Source organism: Homo sapiens, chromosome 13, assembly GCF_000001405.40.
Source record: "Homo sapiens chromosome 13, GRCh38.p14 Primary Assembly".
Lineage (NCBI taxonomy): Eukaryota > Metazoa > Chordata > Mammalia > Primates > Hominidae > Homo > Homo sapiens.
This window is the reverse complement of record NC_000013.11, coordinates 90,402,562-90,417,825: the sequence shown is the minus strand read 5'-3', so window position 1 is coordinate 90,417,825 and position 15,264 is coordinate 90,402,562. Positions and strand designations below refer to the sequence as shown.

The 15,264-nt window shown below is 36.6% G+C and overlaps 3 annotated features.

Annotated features, from left to right (window-relative positions):
- Positions 1,427–2,626: an enhancer, noted in NCBI's record as "BRD4-independent group 4 enhancer chr13:91067454-91068653 (GRCh37/hg19 assembly coordinates)". NCBI's record gives its function as "activates an origin of replication core promoter dependent on BRD2, P300/CBP, MED14 and CDK7 cofactors, and independent of BRD4, by STARR-seq in HCT116 cells {active_cell/tissue: HCT116}" and the evidence as "EXISTENCE:reporter gene assay evidence [ECO:0000049][PMID:35650434]".
- Positions 2,297–2,591: an enhancer, noted in NCBI's record as "tiled region #14763; HepG2 Activating non-DNase unmatched - State 24:Quies, and K562 Activating non-DNase unmatched - State 10:DNaseD". NCBI's record gives its function as "activates a minimal TATA promoter and a strong SV40 promoter by Sharpr-MPRA in HepG2 and K562 cells {active_cell/tissue: HepG2 | K562}" and the evidence as "EXISTENCE:reporter gene assay evidence [ECO:0000049][PMID:27701403]".
- Positions 14,120–14,620: an enhancer, noted in NCBI's record as "H3K4me1 hESC enhancer chr13:91055460-91055960 (GRCh37/hg19 assembly coordinates)". NCBI's record gives its function as "activates a minimal SCP1, AML or CMV promoter by ChIP-STARR-seq in naive H9 embryonic stem cells {active_cell/tissue: H9 hESC(naive)}" and the evidence as "EXISTENCE:reporter gene assay evidence [ECO:0000049][PMID:30033119]".

The window sequence follows — 15,264 nt, the reverse complement described above, 5'->3', positions numbered from 1 at the left end:
TTATCCATGCCCAAAGGGTTAAAGTTCTTAGAAATTGGTTATTTTAGTTTACAAGTCTGCTCACCTCCTAGGTTAATTGACTAGTTTAGTTGACCACTGGAGTCTCTGGTGACCAATTATTCTATAGAGGGTAAGTTTCTTCTCTTTTGGAAACTTTCAAATACAATAAATCATGCTATTTCCATCTTCTTTACTGCCTAGTTATTTATTTAAAAGCCTTACCAACAGAGCCTACATGGAGAGATTCTAATGAGATTAATCCTTCTCAAGAAAGCTATCCTTGGTTAAGTCCAGGCTAAATTCCTATTTTGGACGATGCTGTGAATTAGCTGGTACTGAACTGCTCTAAGAGATTAAAAAACTACAAATTTAATCCCTATAAGCAAACCCATTGGTAGCATAACCAGCTACACATTCAAGGATCAGAGAAGATTTCATTTCTTTACATTTTATCTAGGGAAAAATTGACCTAAAAAGACTTTAAACAACTTAAGCAGTAAAGGTGCTGCATTTTAGTGCACAAGATGAAGATTGGTTCTTAAAAGACTAAGTTTAAGTTCAGAGACTTGCATGTGGTAGTGGTTTTCATTGGTTTAAATTTGAGCAAGTATTTAACCTCTCAGAGTGTTTATCCTCAACTTTGAGAGAGAGATTAATGTATGCTTCACTGGTCACTTTGTAAATGCAATTCTCCTGGATTAAAAACTTGCACTCCTCAAACGTATCTCTTGTGGGAACAAAACTAACCTCAACACTTGCCCAGCTGCTAAGAGTATAGGTCTGTCTTAGAGTTTTCTTTTCTCATTTAATCTGTTTATTTTTTTCTTCTATATAGATTCATAGAAAACAAACATATATCCCTACTCACCTGTCCTTTGAACAGATTAGTGAAAGACTGCAGTATATATGCCATATAAGGCACTTAAAATGATAAAACCAATATTTTGTGGAGTGGGATGCATGTGTGTATGTGTTTGTGTGTGCGCGCGCATGTGTGTGTGTATTGACTGTGTACTTGTGTTATTTGGGCTGTGTTTGAAGCACATCTTGTTCTTTCCTGATCTCACATTAACTACTTGAGAAATTCCTGGCCCATTTCTAAGGTCGGAAATGCCAAAAATGTGTGTGGGCAGAAGCTTCTGCAAAGAAGAGAGAGGATAAGATCCCAAATGAGATAAAGTTTTACTTAGCAAAAGCTACAGAGAGCCATAGGGAGGGAAATGGTTTTAAAGTACACGAAATAAGAGTGACTTGTAGCTTAAGGCATACAGGCTAGGAATTCCAATTCAGACTATTCAAAATTATATTGGTTTAACCACAGTTGGAATTTGATTTTTTTTTATGTTTAGACTTTGGCTTTCTTTTTATTTGCATGCTGTTCTACCATAGTTATTAGTATTATAGAAATACTTAATAAATTCATAAATTACTTAAAGATTGTCTTATATTGTCAGAAATATTTTAGTTCAGGTGTGCTACCCTTCAGAGGAAGGAAAGGAGTAGAATAGCATGCGTTTACATTTATTCTCTGAAATGTTTTTCATTCCTTGTGGAGTTCTCATCGATTTGGAGGCAAAATCTGATTGAATTGTTGTTCATGAGGCACTTCCAATGACTCTGGGCCAGAATGAATCTTCTTATGAGGATCTTGGTGACAATGAGTATCATAACCGTGGGAAGACAGCTTCTGCCTCTCCACACAATCTCTGTTGTCCTAGTATTTTGAACACTTATGTCTGGGAATGGGGAATCTTATGATGGATTCCAGCAGAAGTGAACCTTCTCTAGGGAGTTTTGTTGCCTGCAAATATGCAGAAATGAGAACGTGTGTAGGTAACAGCCTGGCTTAGAAGAACATGTGAGCATCTGCTTGAGAACTCTGGGATTAATCTGAGGTGAAAAGAAGGAAGTTCAAATGCATTGAGCTCAGCAGTCCTGTGAGAGGAAGATGTATTAGCTGTATTTCCAGTTGCCCAGCTGAAAAAGAACACCTTATTCGCAATTTTATGTTCTTGCAAATTTTGCACTGGTACACATTTATTATAATGAACTTAATTTTGTTCTTTCTCCAAAATATAATTTTTCTAGTTTTAGTAGAACAGAGTATAGTAAAAGTACAAAAGTATAGTAAAAGAACAAAATAATTTATAACACAATGTTACAGTAAACAAGTATAGTAAAGGAACAAAATAATTTATAACACATTATAGTAAACAAGTACAGTAAAAGAACAAAATAATTTATAACACAATGAAAGGTATACAATTGCAAATTGTATTCCCATTCACGATAATACAAACTTTTAGGCATTCTTTCCATGTACTTTAAAAATATATATGATGCCTGGACATATGGAAAATTCTCTTGTCTGTGAGTGCCTGTTGCTGTAGGAAAAACCCCAAATGCTTCTACTGTTACATGAGTCATATCCTGCTGGCCCTGCTGTTAGCCTGCGGATCACACCACCACTCCACAGCCAAGGTGTTGCTCCCAAACTCTTCTCCAGTTTTGAATTGGAAGTCTCCTTTTTGATTTATCTTATGTAATACCTTTTATCCTATTCAAATGTCAATAGTCACTTCATTTATCACCAGAATGTTGCCTTCAGTTCCCTCACTGTGTTATTTATTTAGATCTCAGCTGCTTGTCCAACCACCCTCTCCATTTTTGTGTTCTCTATGAAAGTCAAGTTCAGTATAATTAACATTAGCCTTTAACACAGTATACTGCAAGAAGAATTCAGGTAAAATTATAATACAGTTCTGGAGTCCAGTGTGGGTTTCTCTCTCACCAAATACTGCATAATCCTTATATGCAGAGTGGCTAGGATACTGTTTGGTGTCAGTTCAGTTTGGCATTTTATTTTATTTGCCTTAATGATTCTGACTCTGAATGCTAGGACAGCACTGTTTCTGGATCCCATGATTGTATAAATTTGAGAGGTTATTTCCTGTTATCGGAAATGGACTTGCCATTGTGCACTGTCAGTATAAACTTAGGGAAACTTTTGATCCAGTCACAGAGACCAGATATATGAGAAATTCTAAGGAATGTGAAGTTTCTTTTCTCAATTCTATTTACCCAAGTTTCTTGTTCTTACCTTGTAAATTACCCCCAAGGTGACATTGTACTTTCTTCCAATTTTTTCTATCCCTTATCTCCAATTCTTCTTTTACCCCATCTTTAACCCTCTTGAATATTGTCTATCATATGTGCCATCACAGATCTTGTTCCTTATGAATCTTATGACTGGAATTGGACTTAAAGAGGTTACCACTTCCAGGGTAATATACTTCATTTTTAAAGGTGCTTTGAGTTAAAGAAATGAAGTGACATCAAGCCTGTGGACACAATTTCTTGGGCAAATAGTCTTATAATGTGCGGTTTAGATAAAAGTGCCTGTGATAGAAACACTGTGTGTCAAAAAGGATGGGGAGTGATGAGCTAGTAATGTGGATATTGTGGAAAGTAAGGAAGGGAGGATGCAGGAGGCCTCCTCTGTTTCTGCCAGGCTTAAAGGTGACCTGTTAAGGTAGCTGGAGTTTATTTGCATAGAAATAGGGAGGGAGGAGAAAGGGCTATACAGACGTTAACTTTGTCTTTCTTTGGCTTTCTTCTTTTTTAATCATATTTTATTCAGCTTTTCTAAAAATTTGGACTAACTGCCTATTATATACTAAAAAACAAAACCATAGAACATAAAATGTAGAGTTAATTAAGTTCCTGGATAGGTCTAAATAATTAACAATTATTATAGCTCTGTTTCTTCTCAAACTCACTCTTAAAAACTGTGCATAAAATTTTTTGATATTTTACATTGCATGATAAAGGTTGTAATCATATATTTATTTATATATATTAGTCAATATAGATATTGTTCATATTATATGCTATTACCTTTCACTCTTATTATTATGCTGAATAAGATTTAAGATTTCATTTATGAAGATTAAGTTCGAGTGTTTAATATTTAATTTAAAAAGCTATAAGCCAGATTGGTGTGGCATCTTTGTTCACTTTTAAAAGATTCTGATATAATTAAATTATTGATTTTTAAGACATCAGTCAGCATGCATGTATTGTGATGAGCTCTATTATGATGTTTTTTCCCCCAGACATGATCATCTTAAACATTGTATATCTTAATATTATCTACTCAGAGACTTTTCTTTGCATGCAGATGTTAATTTTAAAACATGAACACAAAAATACATAGAGTTTTATTCATGAATGTTGTCAATCCTATAGCATCAACATTATAATATGAAGATTATTAAGCAAATCAAAAGGCAAGCAGCTGAAAATGTAGAAATGAAACTTGCTATTGAACTTGCTAAAGTAGAGTATATAAATAATAATCATCCAAATATTATTTTAGTTTTTTTCCTATTATCTCCTGGGCTTCATGTAATAAACATACTTTTCATTTCTGTAAATCAATGTTTTAACATCTACAAAATATTCACTGCATGTTCCCAAGTAAACTCTGGCTCACCTAAACGCATCCAGAGACTTAGATAGTCCCAAATCATATGCTCAACAGTCACAGTGAACATGAATTTTGCAGGGTAGACTCTTTCACACATAGCTTGCCAATCCTAAACTCCTTCTTTTCCTGGCCCATTCCTTCTTGAGAGACACATAATGAAGGCATTTGCCCACAGTTCCTCTTTCTCCTTCTGCCTTCTGGTGGACCGTGGTGCATCCTGAGTTACCCTGTCCTGCCTGGTGTGCTGTGTTTTTCCAGGGAACTGAGCTTGATAAAACTGCAAAACTCTCTCTCTCTTCAACTGCTTCTGGCCTCACCATGTCTCACCTAAGATAATATGGCTCAAACACTTAAATGAGTTTATTATTCTATATGTGGCCATTTAAACACATATATTTTCAAATAATAAAGATAGGCTGGAACTCTATAATGAAACTCTAACTTAATAGTTAGATTGAAACTCTACTATTTGAAATATATGTGCTTAAATAGCCACATACAGAATAAAATGATTGAATAATATATGAAATTGCAATATTTCCTGTAAAGATAATAATGAAAAAAAATGCTTGTTCTCTCTTGGGAATAAATTAGAAGAATCTGATAACAGCAAGTGGAGTGCAACATAATTATTTCTAATGACAATGACCTCTGTTGGTACTATTTCCTGTAGGAGAGATGAGGTGTAGTAAGTAAAAGGAAGAAGTTTGTTTGTAATAATTTATAAGATTTACTTCTCCACAATTTGAACAGTTGGAACAAATTGCACTGGCTGAATTCCAGAAAGGAACAGTTTAAGTAGGGGTGTAATGAGAAAAGGCATAAGGACATTTTGGATATCAGTGCAGTGCCATTAATTTCACCAAATTGACTTTGTAAGCTTGGTCTGTCTCCACTGGTAATGTATAACTGTCTATGCTGATCCTTACATTATAATACATCTTTTGATATTAAAAATTATTGATAAAATAATTAAAATGAGAAATCTACATCTATTCTTATAACAAAGCTTAGAAAGTTGTGAAAGTATACCATGTTAAATTGAATAATAGTGACACAATGGATAATGTCTAGGGCACTTTTTAATGTGGAATTCTAGTTGCGCCCAAACAATTAGTTGAAAAAAAAAATCTCTTTCCATTGAGTTTTCTTTTCACTTTCATAGTTTATTAATTGCCCTTATATGTCCGGTTCTATTTTGGACTCTCTAGTCCGTTCCATTTATTAATATGCCTATCTTTTTACTCATACCATGCTGTCTTAACTATGAATTTATAGTGTGAGCTTTTCAACCTTGTTTTTCTCTTTCAAAATTGTTTTGACTAATTTAATTTAGTTGCTTTTCATGTAAATCATAGAATCAAATTCTTAATTTATACTAAAATTATGCTGTTATTTCTTTTGCGTTTCACTGACAACATATAACATTTTTTGAAAAATTTACATATTTGTACAGTGAGTGAGTCTTCCAATCCATAGTATGACATATCTTTCTATTTCTTTTTTTAGACAGAGTCTCACTCTTGTCGCGGAGGCTGAAAGGCAGTGGCATGATCTCCGCTCACTGCAACCTCCGCCTCCCAGGTTCAAGTGATTCTCCTGCCTCAGCCTCCTGAGTAGCTGGGATTACAGGTGCCCACCACCATGCCCAGCTAATTTTTGTACTTTTAGTAGAGATGGGATTTCTGCATGTTGGCCAGGCTGGCCTCGAACTCCTGACCTCAGTTGATCCGCCCTCCTGGGCCTCCCAAAATGCTGGGATTACAGGTGTGAGCCACCGCACCCAGCCATCTTTCTATTTCTTTAGGTCTGCTTTGTTTTATTTCATCAGTGTTTTGTAGTTGTCAACATACAGTTCATGCATACATTTCTTTGATGTATACCCAGCATTTCGTGTTTCCTGGTGCTATTGCAAATAGTTTTATTTTTAAAGTTTTAATTTCTGATTGTTCATTGCTAGTATTTAAAAATACAATTGATTTTTGTATATTGACCTTGTATCCTCCAACTTTCCTAAATTCACTTATTAGTTGTGTTTCCTTGTACTCATATATTGTTTGTAGGTTCATAGAGATTCTCTGTGTAGACAATCATGTCACTTTTAAATAGTGTCAGTCTTATTTTTTTCTTTCTAATATTATTTCATTTATTTCTCCTCCTTACATTATTGCCCCATCTCAGTTAGTTTCTTCACATCCATGTGCTGATAATCACTCTGCTGGAAAGGACACTTTGAAGATCTGTGGTGGTCCCTCTCTCTGTGCAAGTCTCTCCTTTTTTTACTCTGCCTTATGAATTGCAGTTATTTTGGCCTCCTTTAACCTCCAACTCCATCTCCCCAGCTCAAATTCTACTGGTTCTGCCCAGTCAACCCTCTCTCCAGGCATTAAGCTAGGGACAATCATAGGACTTTCATACTTCTTTGCCTCAAGGATCATTACTCGACACTGCCTGCTATCAAATATCTGAAAACATTGCTCTTTATCTTTTTTCAGCTTTTTGGTTATTTAAGGAAGGTGGGTAAATATGTATCTGTTACTCCATCTTGGGTGGAAGCAGAATTTTCCACCATTTATATTTTTATATTGAATATGACCACATTGAAAGTAAGAATGATTTTTTAAAATGTGCCTTCATTTCCATTGCATGACAGAAACATCAGTGAATTTCTGCTAGGTAGAGTACATTCAGTACCATAATGAAGGAAGACAATAAAGCCTAACTCAAAACTCTCTTCTGCAAGAACATAGCATGACATTGCAGAGATTAAAATAAAAAACTGGAAGGACATGTTTTAATTTCTGTTCTTTCAAAAGCAGTGCCTGACACTTAAACCTGAGAACTAGCAATGTATTTGGGAGTAAATCCCATAGAATGGAAAGAAAAAATGACATTAGTGAGACATAGAAGGAAGAAAACCCAAAATGTAAGAAAACCTTCCAGAATGACCATAAAAATCATCTCTACAAGGTATTAGAAGCTGGGCATTTATCTTTCAACCTCCTTTACTATTTGTTGATAATTTTCCCCCATGAGTGTGAATGTTGTGTTTTGATGTCTCAATGTCTTCCCTTAAGCTTTAGAGAAAAACCTGAGACAGAATTTAGAGACTCTGTAGAGGGTGCCTGAGCTGGAATGTGGGGCATAATGTTCAAAACTTTATACTATAGCTGTGCTGAAATTTTAGTGACATGAGGGGTTGTGACAAAGGATAAAAAGGTGTTTGCCAGAAATCTAAATATTCTCCTGCTGCAAAAAGTCCATGGTAGACAAAAAGTCAATCAGGAAATAGGTCATTTGAAACTGCCTTTGGTACTACAGATTCATTACAGTCACCCAACAGTGTGTTGGAAGACCTAAGGAGAAAGGTGGGAAAACCAACAGAAAACCAGGTTAATGGACTTTTCTAGAAGCTTTTCAATGAATGGAAAGTTATAGTACCAGGGAATGTACCAGACACAGCTGCACTTTTTTCATAGAATAAAACTGAGGTCAAACACAAAGAAAAAGAATGCATCCCTGGTGCTCAGCCACTTCGCCCAACACAGTCAGAGAAATATCAAATAATCTATAACTGAACAAAGATCATGTTATCTTTCAACTTTACTTTTCCATCAATAAATGACCTAAGACAACAGTACTAGCAATAGAACATTTCAAATAATAAGTTTTCTTTCAACAATTCTATATGACAGTTTTTTTTATGTGTTAGGAACAATCACACAAATGGTGAGTTTGTACTAAAAACACACTAACGTATGGACAAGACAAGCCGTGCCTATAAAAATAGCTGTTTTAATCTAATTATAAATAATACATTTCAACATGGAAATTTAAAAAATACCATAAAACACAATACAAAATATATTTATGGGAAACATAATATGGTTTTCAACTTCCAGATTATATTAACAAATTAAAAATCGAGAAAGAAAAATAATGAAGAATAATATAGTGTGTTCAAGGTACATGAAAGAAATGAATAATTAACAATTATTAACATATGAATTATGAAAGTACATACGAAAGTGTTAAAATTCTAAAATTGGAAATTAAAGGATGATGAAATATATACTATGCGATTCCTGCCTTAAAAACTGCAGGAATGGCACCATTAGCATATACAAGGAGCAGCAAATTAAGTTAAATATTATTTGAACATACAGGGAATTTTTTTGTTAATATTAAGTTTTAGCATGAAAATTTGGTAGTTAAGTCACTTTCTGAATAAGGAATTTAGTATCAATGCATGTACATAATAATTGTCAAAGTAAAGGAGAAAATGAAAGAATCAAACATAATTATAGACTTTAGTATGCCCGTATAAGACTGCAACATGGCAAGTAGCTAAACATTAGTTATATAATAATAAGTAAAATTATGAATAATTATGATCAGATGATAATGATAATCACCTATTTTAAATACTTTCCATGTGTCAAAGTTTTTAGGCAGAAAAAAATCTGCCATTTTGCCAGATTATATTGCTTTTCTTTTATCATTATATTTTTATCAAATAGGGAGTTCGTATCTTTCTTTTGAATTCTATATGACACAATCAACTTTCTTGGGAAGTATTCATGAGCTTAAAAATATAAATAAACAGACAAAAATACTACACAAAGCTCAGTACATTTATTTGAAGCATGGGAAACAATGAAGATAAATGTTACGATTTTTAAAAGTCAGTATTTTGATGACTTTTATTAAAAAAAGGCAATAATAAATGCTGGCAAGGATATGGAGAAAAGGGAACCATTTTACACTGTTGATGGGAATGTAAGGCAGTACAACCATTATGGTGAAAAGTTTAGAGGTTCCTCAAAAAACTAAAAATAGAGCTACCCTATGATCCAGCAATCCCACTGCTGGGTACTTACCCAAAACAAATCAGTGTTTTGAAGAGATATTTGTACCCCCATGTTTACTGCAACATTATGCACAATAGCCAAGATTTAGAAGCAACTCAAGTATCCATCAAAAGATGAATGGATAAAGAAAATGTGCTCCATATACACAATGAAATATTATTCAGCTATAAAAAAGAATGAGTTCTGTCATTTGCAACAACATGGATAGAACTGGAGGTCATTATGTTAACTGAAATAAGCTAGGCACAGAAAAACAAACTTCACATGTTCTCACTTATTTGTGGGATTTAAAAATCAAAACAATTGAACTCAGAGAGATAGAAGTTAGAATGACAGTCACCAGAAATTGAGAAGGGCAGTGCGGGTTGTGGGGGAGATGGCTAATTGGTATCAAAAATATTAAGAAAGAATGAATAAGATTTAGCATTTTAAAGGACAACAACATGACTATATTCAATAATAATTGAATTGTACATTTAAAAATAGCTAAAAGAATATAATTGAATTTTTTGTAACACAAAGGATAAGTGCTTGAGGGGATGGATACCCCATTTATCCTGATGGAATTATTACCCATTTTATGCCTATAACAAAATAGCTCATATACTTCATAAATATATACACCTACTATATATGCACAGAAGTTAAGAATAAATTTTTTTAAAAGAGCCTTTCCAATGTTAACAAAGAAAAAATAACATTTTTTAAATAGCTAATATTTAATGTTAATGGGTAATAGGCACTTTGCTTATATTTCACGTTCAGGGAACATTTAGCTGCTATGGTAGCAATATGAGGTAAGTATATATCATACCCATTTTACTGATGAAGAAACTGATGCATAGAGATTAACCTGGCAATTTCATATAGCCAGTGATATGGGGGCTCTGTGTCCCCACCTGAATCTCATCTCCAATTGTAATCCTCCCATGTTGGGGGAGGAGCCTGGTAGGAGGTGATTGAATCATGTGCGCAGACTTCTCCCTTGCTGTTCTCATAATAGCGAGTAAGTTCTCACCAGATCTGGTTGTTTGACAATGTGTAGCACTTCCCCCTTTGCTCTCTCTGTCTCTCCTGCTCCTCCATGGTAAGACATGCTGGCTTCCCCTTCACCTTCTACCATGATTGTAAGTTTCCTGAGGCCTCCAAGTCATGATTCTTGTAAAGCCTGTGGAACCATGAGTCAATTAAACCTCTTTTTTCATAAATTACCCAGTCTCAGGTAGCTCTTTATAGCAGTGTGAGAAAGAACCAATACAGCTAGCAAGTGGTAGCATTAAACATGGAACACAGGCTTAGGACCTTAGGCATAACATTTTGACTCATGGTTCCACAGGCCTAACATAACAAATCCACTAAAAGTAATGCTTTTCATGTAAAATAGTACCATGAAATTTAATAAAAACTGCTAGCTTAAGAAAGTAAACATAAATATCAAGTCCTTATTAGCCAATTGAAATTCAGAAACTTAATTTGTCTATTATAGTTTTTGAAAATGGTATGATTTTGACTTATAATTGTAAAAGCTATGGTTGATTTTCAAAGTGTTTTTTTATCATTAAATCCATAATAAAGTATGTTGATTTTTTTCTGCTTTCCAAATAATGTCTGTGCTAAGCAGACATTTTTTGTTTGTTTAATGCTCTTAACCAAAACAAGATATCTTGAGTCTTACCTCCTCTTTTAAGTATGGCTGATGCTCTAAATTCCAAATATCTCTGTCTCTTTAGAAATGAAAGTGTTTTTGAATCATTAACCATCTCCAAACACGCATACCCATAAGTAGTTGGTCTGAATTAACACTCCTTCCTCTCTCTTTATGGAATAATTCAGTTATTATAAACTCATTTAACTTGAAGATTCTGAAACAAAAGCTATATTTTTAAAAATCAGATGGGAGATAAATGTTTACACTCAACAAAATTTTCCAGAATGGTGTTAACTCTGTCTCTTTGATGTTTTCTGTCTGGATAAGAACGGCAATTTCAGGAAAATTTAAAGCAATATGGCCTATTGAAGAATATCAATACTTGCAGGTCCCTTCTCTCAGATGATGTAAAAGCCTTTGTATCCCTATATAAAAGCTCTAGTGATCATATTGGCAACAGATTTTTTTCGTTTCTCTAAGATTATTTGCCTATCTCCATAAGGAGGAATACCATCAAATATTATAAGTTTTTAGTTGTGAGTTCATGAAAGATGACATTATCAAGAATCAGCTGTTATGATAATTACATCAAGTCATGATGGCTTCTCCAAAAATATTTTCATTGGTCCTTTTGGAGTTTTCGAAACAAAACTGCCTTGATTTTTCAAAGCTTGGTCAAGTAAATTTTCCATTAACTTCTATACCATGACTGCACCTTTGGCTTTTTTACCATTGTATTTCAACTGTTGTAATGGTTTATTTCATTGCTAAGCACTTCCCTTTCTAATCATGGTCCTAAATTTGACCTAGTCCTGCAAATAAGAAACCTACAATCCAGAGCCAATCTTTTGTTTTGAAATGGTTATCTTTCTGGTTTCAAACAACTTTAGCAAATGTTATATTCTGAGGAGAGCTCAGGTTGCTAGTCTGAGCAGACAGCTTTTTCTTTCAGCTACAATGAATTTATCTAAAAGGTTAATAGTTGTATGCATTTCGATTAGGTTGATTACATGTAATGTGGCTCCTAATAAGAAAGGCTTCTTTTCCACCAGAAAATGGTTGAAGTATTCAAGGTCAAAATTTCTGTAATTTTTAAATGTATTTTAGTATCACACATCAGCATGAAACTATAGTTAGCATTCCTTCACATTTGAAGCTTTAGAAAGATTGCTCTTCAGAACACAGACTTTGGATTTATTTTGATTTTGACTGTGGACACTTTTTAAGCCTCACCACTCTCCCATCTCCTGCCCCACAGCTGTTTACTTCTGGGCATAAGAGAGCCTGGACACTCTTTCCTTTGGCACAAGCAGAAAGCTTAAACCATGAAATTTATAGGGGAATGTGGGAGGAAAGCCCAGATTCTAGACTCACCCCAAAATAAAAGCCAGCTTCAATTATCCTTTCTTTTTTATCTCAAGCCGTTTATAGACCTGTTGAGAGATTTTCTTGCCCTCTTCAGAAATCCTTCTTCAGTGAATAATAAAATATTTTATTCTCTCACAGTACATGGTAGCATTTTCGGGCTTGACAAGCAAAATTTTTGATTGACTTCCATCCATCTTTCTCTGAGTTTTTCCCAAAATTTCTTCATCTAGAAAAAAAGCACTTTGGCAAAAAGGTCTGCTACCTAATCTGTGTGGCTCTCTCCTAAGGTCAAAGAATCTTTTGGCTGTCATTTAATCAGTTGGAAACCTCTGGCTGGTGGCACTTTTGATCAAGTTTTGGTTGGACCTGCTGGTCTTGTTCCACCCACTCAGCCTAGCAGGCTGCACTCAGCTCATGCTACTGGTCCAGATCCCACACCTGCCAAGGACATGCTAGGCATGGAGCAGCAAGGGGTGTAAGAAAGCAAGTGCCAGGTCTGGCCACTGTGCATAGCCAGGTATGCCAGCTGCAGTAGGGAGGGCAGTTCTAGGCACCAGCCCAGGCGCTGGCTCCCTGTAAGGCTGTCCCTGGACCAGGCATACCACAAATGGCTTCCACCACAGGTGTCGGGGAAGGTGGTGGCACCCAGAAGCTTGGAGATTTGGAGATGCCAGGAATCACAGAGCCCCAAAGAGGATGTCACAGCCCTGGTTCAGGGAACTCCTAGGTCTGGGCTAACCAAAGGGATGCAGCTCTTCTCCCCTTCTCATTGCCTGTAACATGGCAATTTGGTGGTGGTGGTTGGGGGGAGTTTCAGCCCCGTTTGGCTTACGGCTCTTTCACTCCTGCTATCTGGCAGGCCTGAGTTCTTGTCCCATGTCCAGGAATAATGAGGTACATGGACAACTGGAGGGTGAGCAAGGTGAAAAGGAGCTTCATTGAGCAACAGAACAGCTCTCAGGAGACCCGAAGTGGGTGGCTCCTTTCCACAGGAAGGCTGTCTGAGCATTTGTGCAGCCCTCAGTGGAGAGGAGACCCAAAATGATTTTGGGTCCCATCTGTGAGCATCTGTGCAGCCCTCAGTAAAGAGAAGATCCGGAGTGGGTTGCTGCTGTCTGCAGATAGGTTATTCCAAAGTCTGTGCAGCCCTCAGCAGAAAAGAGATCTGGAATGGGTAGCTCCCATATGCAGGCAGGTTGTCCTGATGACTGTACAGCTCTGAGTAGAGAGGAGACCCAGACCCACAGTGGGTAGCTCCTCTCTGTGGGCAGGTTGTCCCATCATCTGCCTGAGTCTGGCTAAGTCAGTTTTTAATGGGCTTCAGAGGGGAGAAAGTGCATGCTGATTGGTTCATGGGCAGCCATGGGAAGGCCCAGGAAAGGCAGCGTAAGTTCTCACTCTGGACCATGGAACAGGCAGCCCATTGCTTCAGGCTGTTCCTGGCCTGAAGGTGGGGCTTCACTGGGTACCACTCTCTTTTTGCCCAGGAGCCTGTGCCTCCTGTCTCCATCAACTTGCCATCCATAGTGACCATGGTGTTCAGGCTGTTCATGCTGAGGGGCACCTGCAGGCCTGTGCTGAGACACCGTCCAATGCTCGTTGATGGCCAAAGTCTGGAGGGGGATGAGGAGGCAGGGGACTGGCATGTCAGTGCTGTCCCAAGCGCATGCACACCCAGCCAGGTCTCAACAGCGTCCAGGCTTGGCCTCAACTTTGCTCCAAAATCAGAGTGGGCACCAGGAGCAGAGAGAGGCCAGGCAGTGGGAGCAGCCACTTCCACGTCTGTAGGAGGAGGGGGCTTCCTGGGCCCCTGAGAGTACAGGGATGCCCAGGTCCACAGCCACAGCTAGGGAGCTGCAGTTGCATACGGGAGCACGGGGCTCTCACCTCACCGACTCAGAAGGGGTGGGGATTCCAACTGTTCCTGGCTTTCGCTGGCTGTGTAGAGTGCACAGCCACGGCTGTGCCTTCCCAGCTGCGGTGTCTTTGTAGCAGCCACTCCAGATGGGCCGCTGCTGCCATCAGTAAAACATGTCTGCTTATACAGCAGAAATTGACTTTTAGCGTCTCTAATTCAATTGACTAAATAATATGATATCCCTAGACACTTTTTCTTTCTCTTTTTAGGGAATACACAATGTGATTCCCCATTACATTTCGATAAGTGTTTAACTTTTAATGTGTATGTAACTTCTAAGTCCAGAATGTGTAGCTCATCAATCAGAATAAAGAGGCTTACAGAGGCCTAGGATAATTTGTTTACTTTGAGATATTATCTAATTCCAATGAGTTTCTTTCCTTCCCATCACTAACTCATCAATTAATACCTTGAATTCACTGTTATTATATTCTCACCTTTTAATCACTAAGTCTAGCTTTTCCCCACACTGCTTTCTGATTTTATTCTTACCATCTGTACTTAACTATGGTAAGTTCCTTATAAGTGTATGTGGTTTCTTTTCTGTTAAATACTAATATTCCTCTCTCAACCCACCCACTTTGTCCTGTCAATAACTGATTATCTTATCTCAGCTTTCTACAACCTTATTCCCCATATTGGAAGCAGATGCCCTTCCTGTTGCTTCTATAGTATTTTGTACTTTATCTCCTGAATAACTTACTACATTTTATTGCTATGACTTATTTACTTTTTTGAGCCTCATCCAACTTAAGCACTGTGAAGCTTCAGTTTATGTACGATTTCTTCAATAATATATTTTCAGAAGTACTAGCATAGTGCTGGTCAATAAATATACATACAAGAAAGTCAATAAAAATATGTTGAATTAGTGAAGCATTAAACTTATAAAACAGTCATCAAATTAATTGTTAGTAGAGTAGGCAATAATTTTCCTTCAAATTGGAGAATAAAATTTTTGGAATTGGTA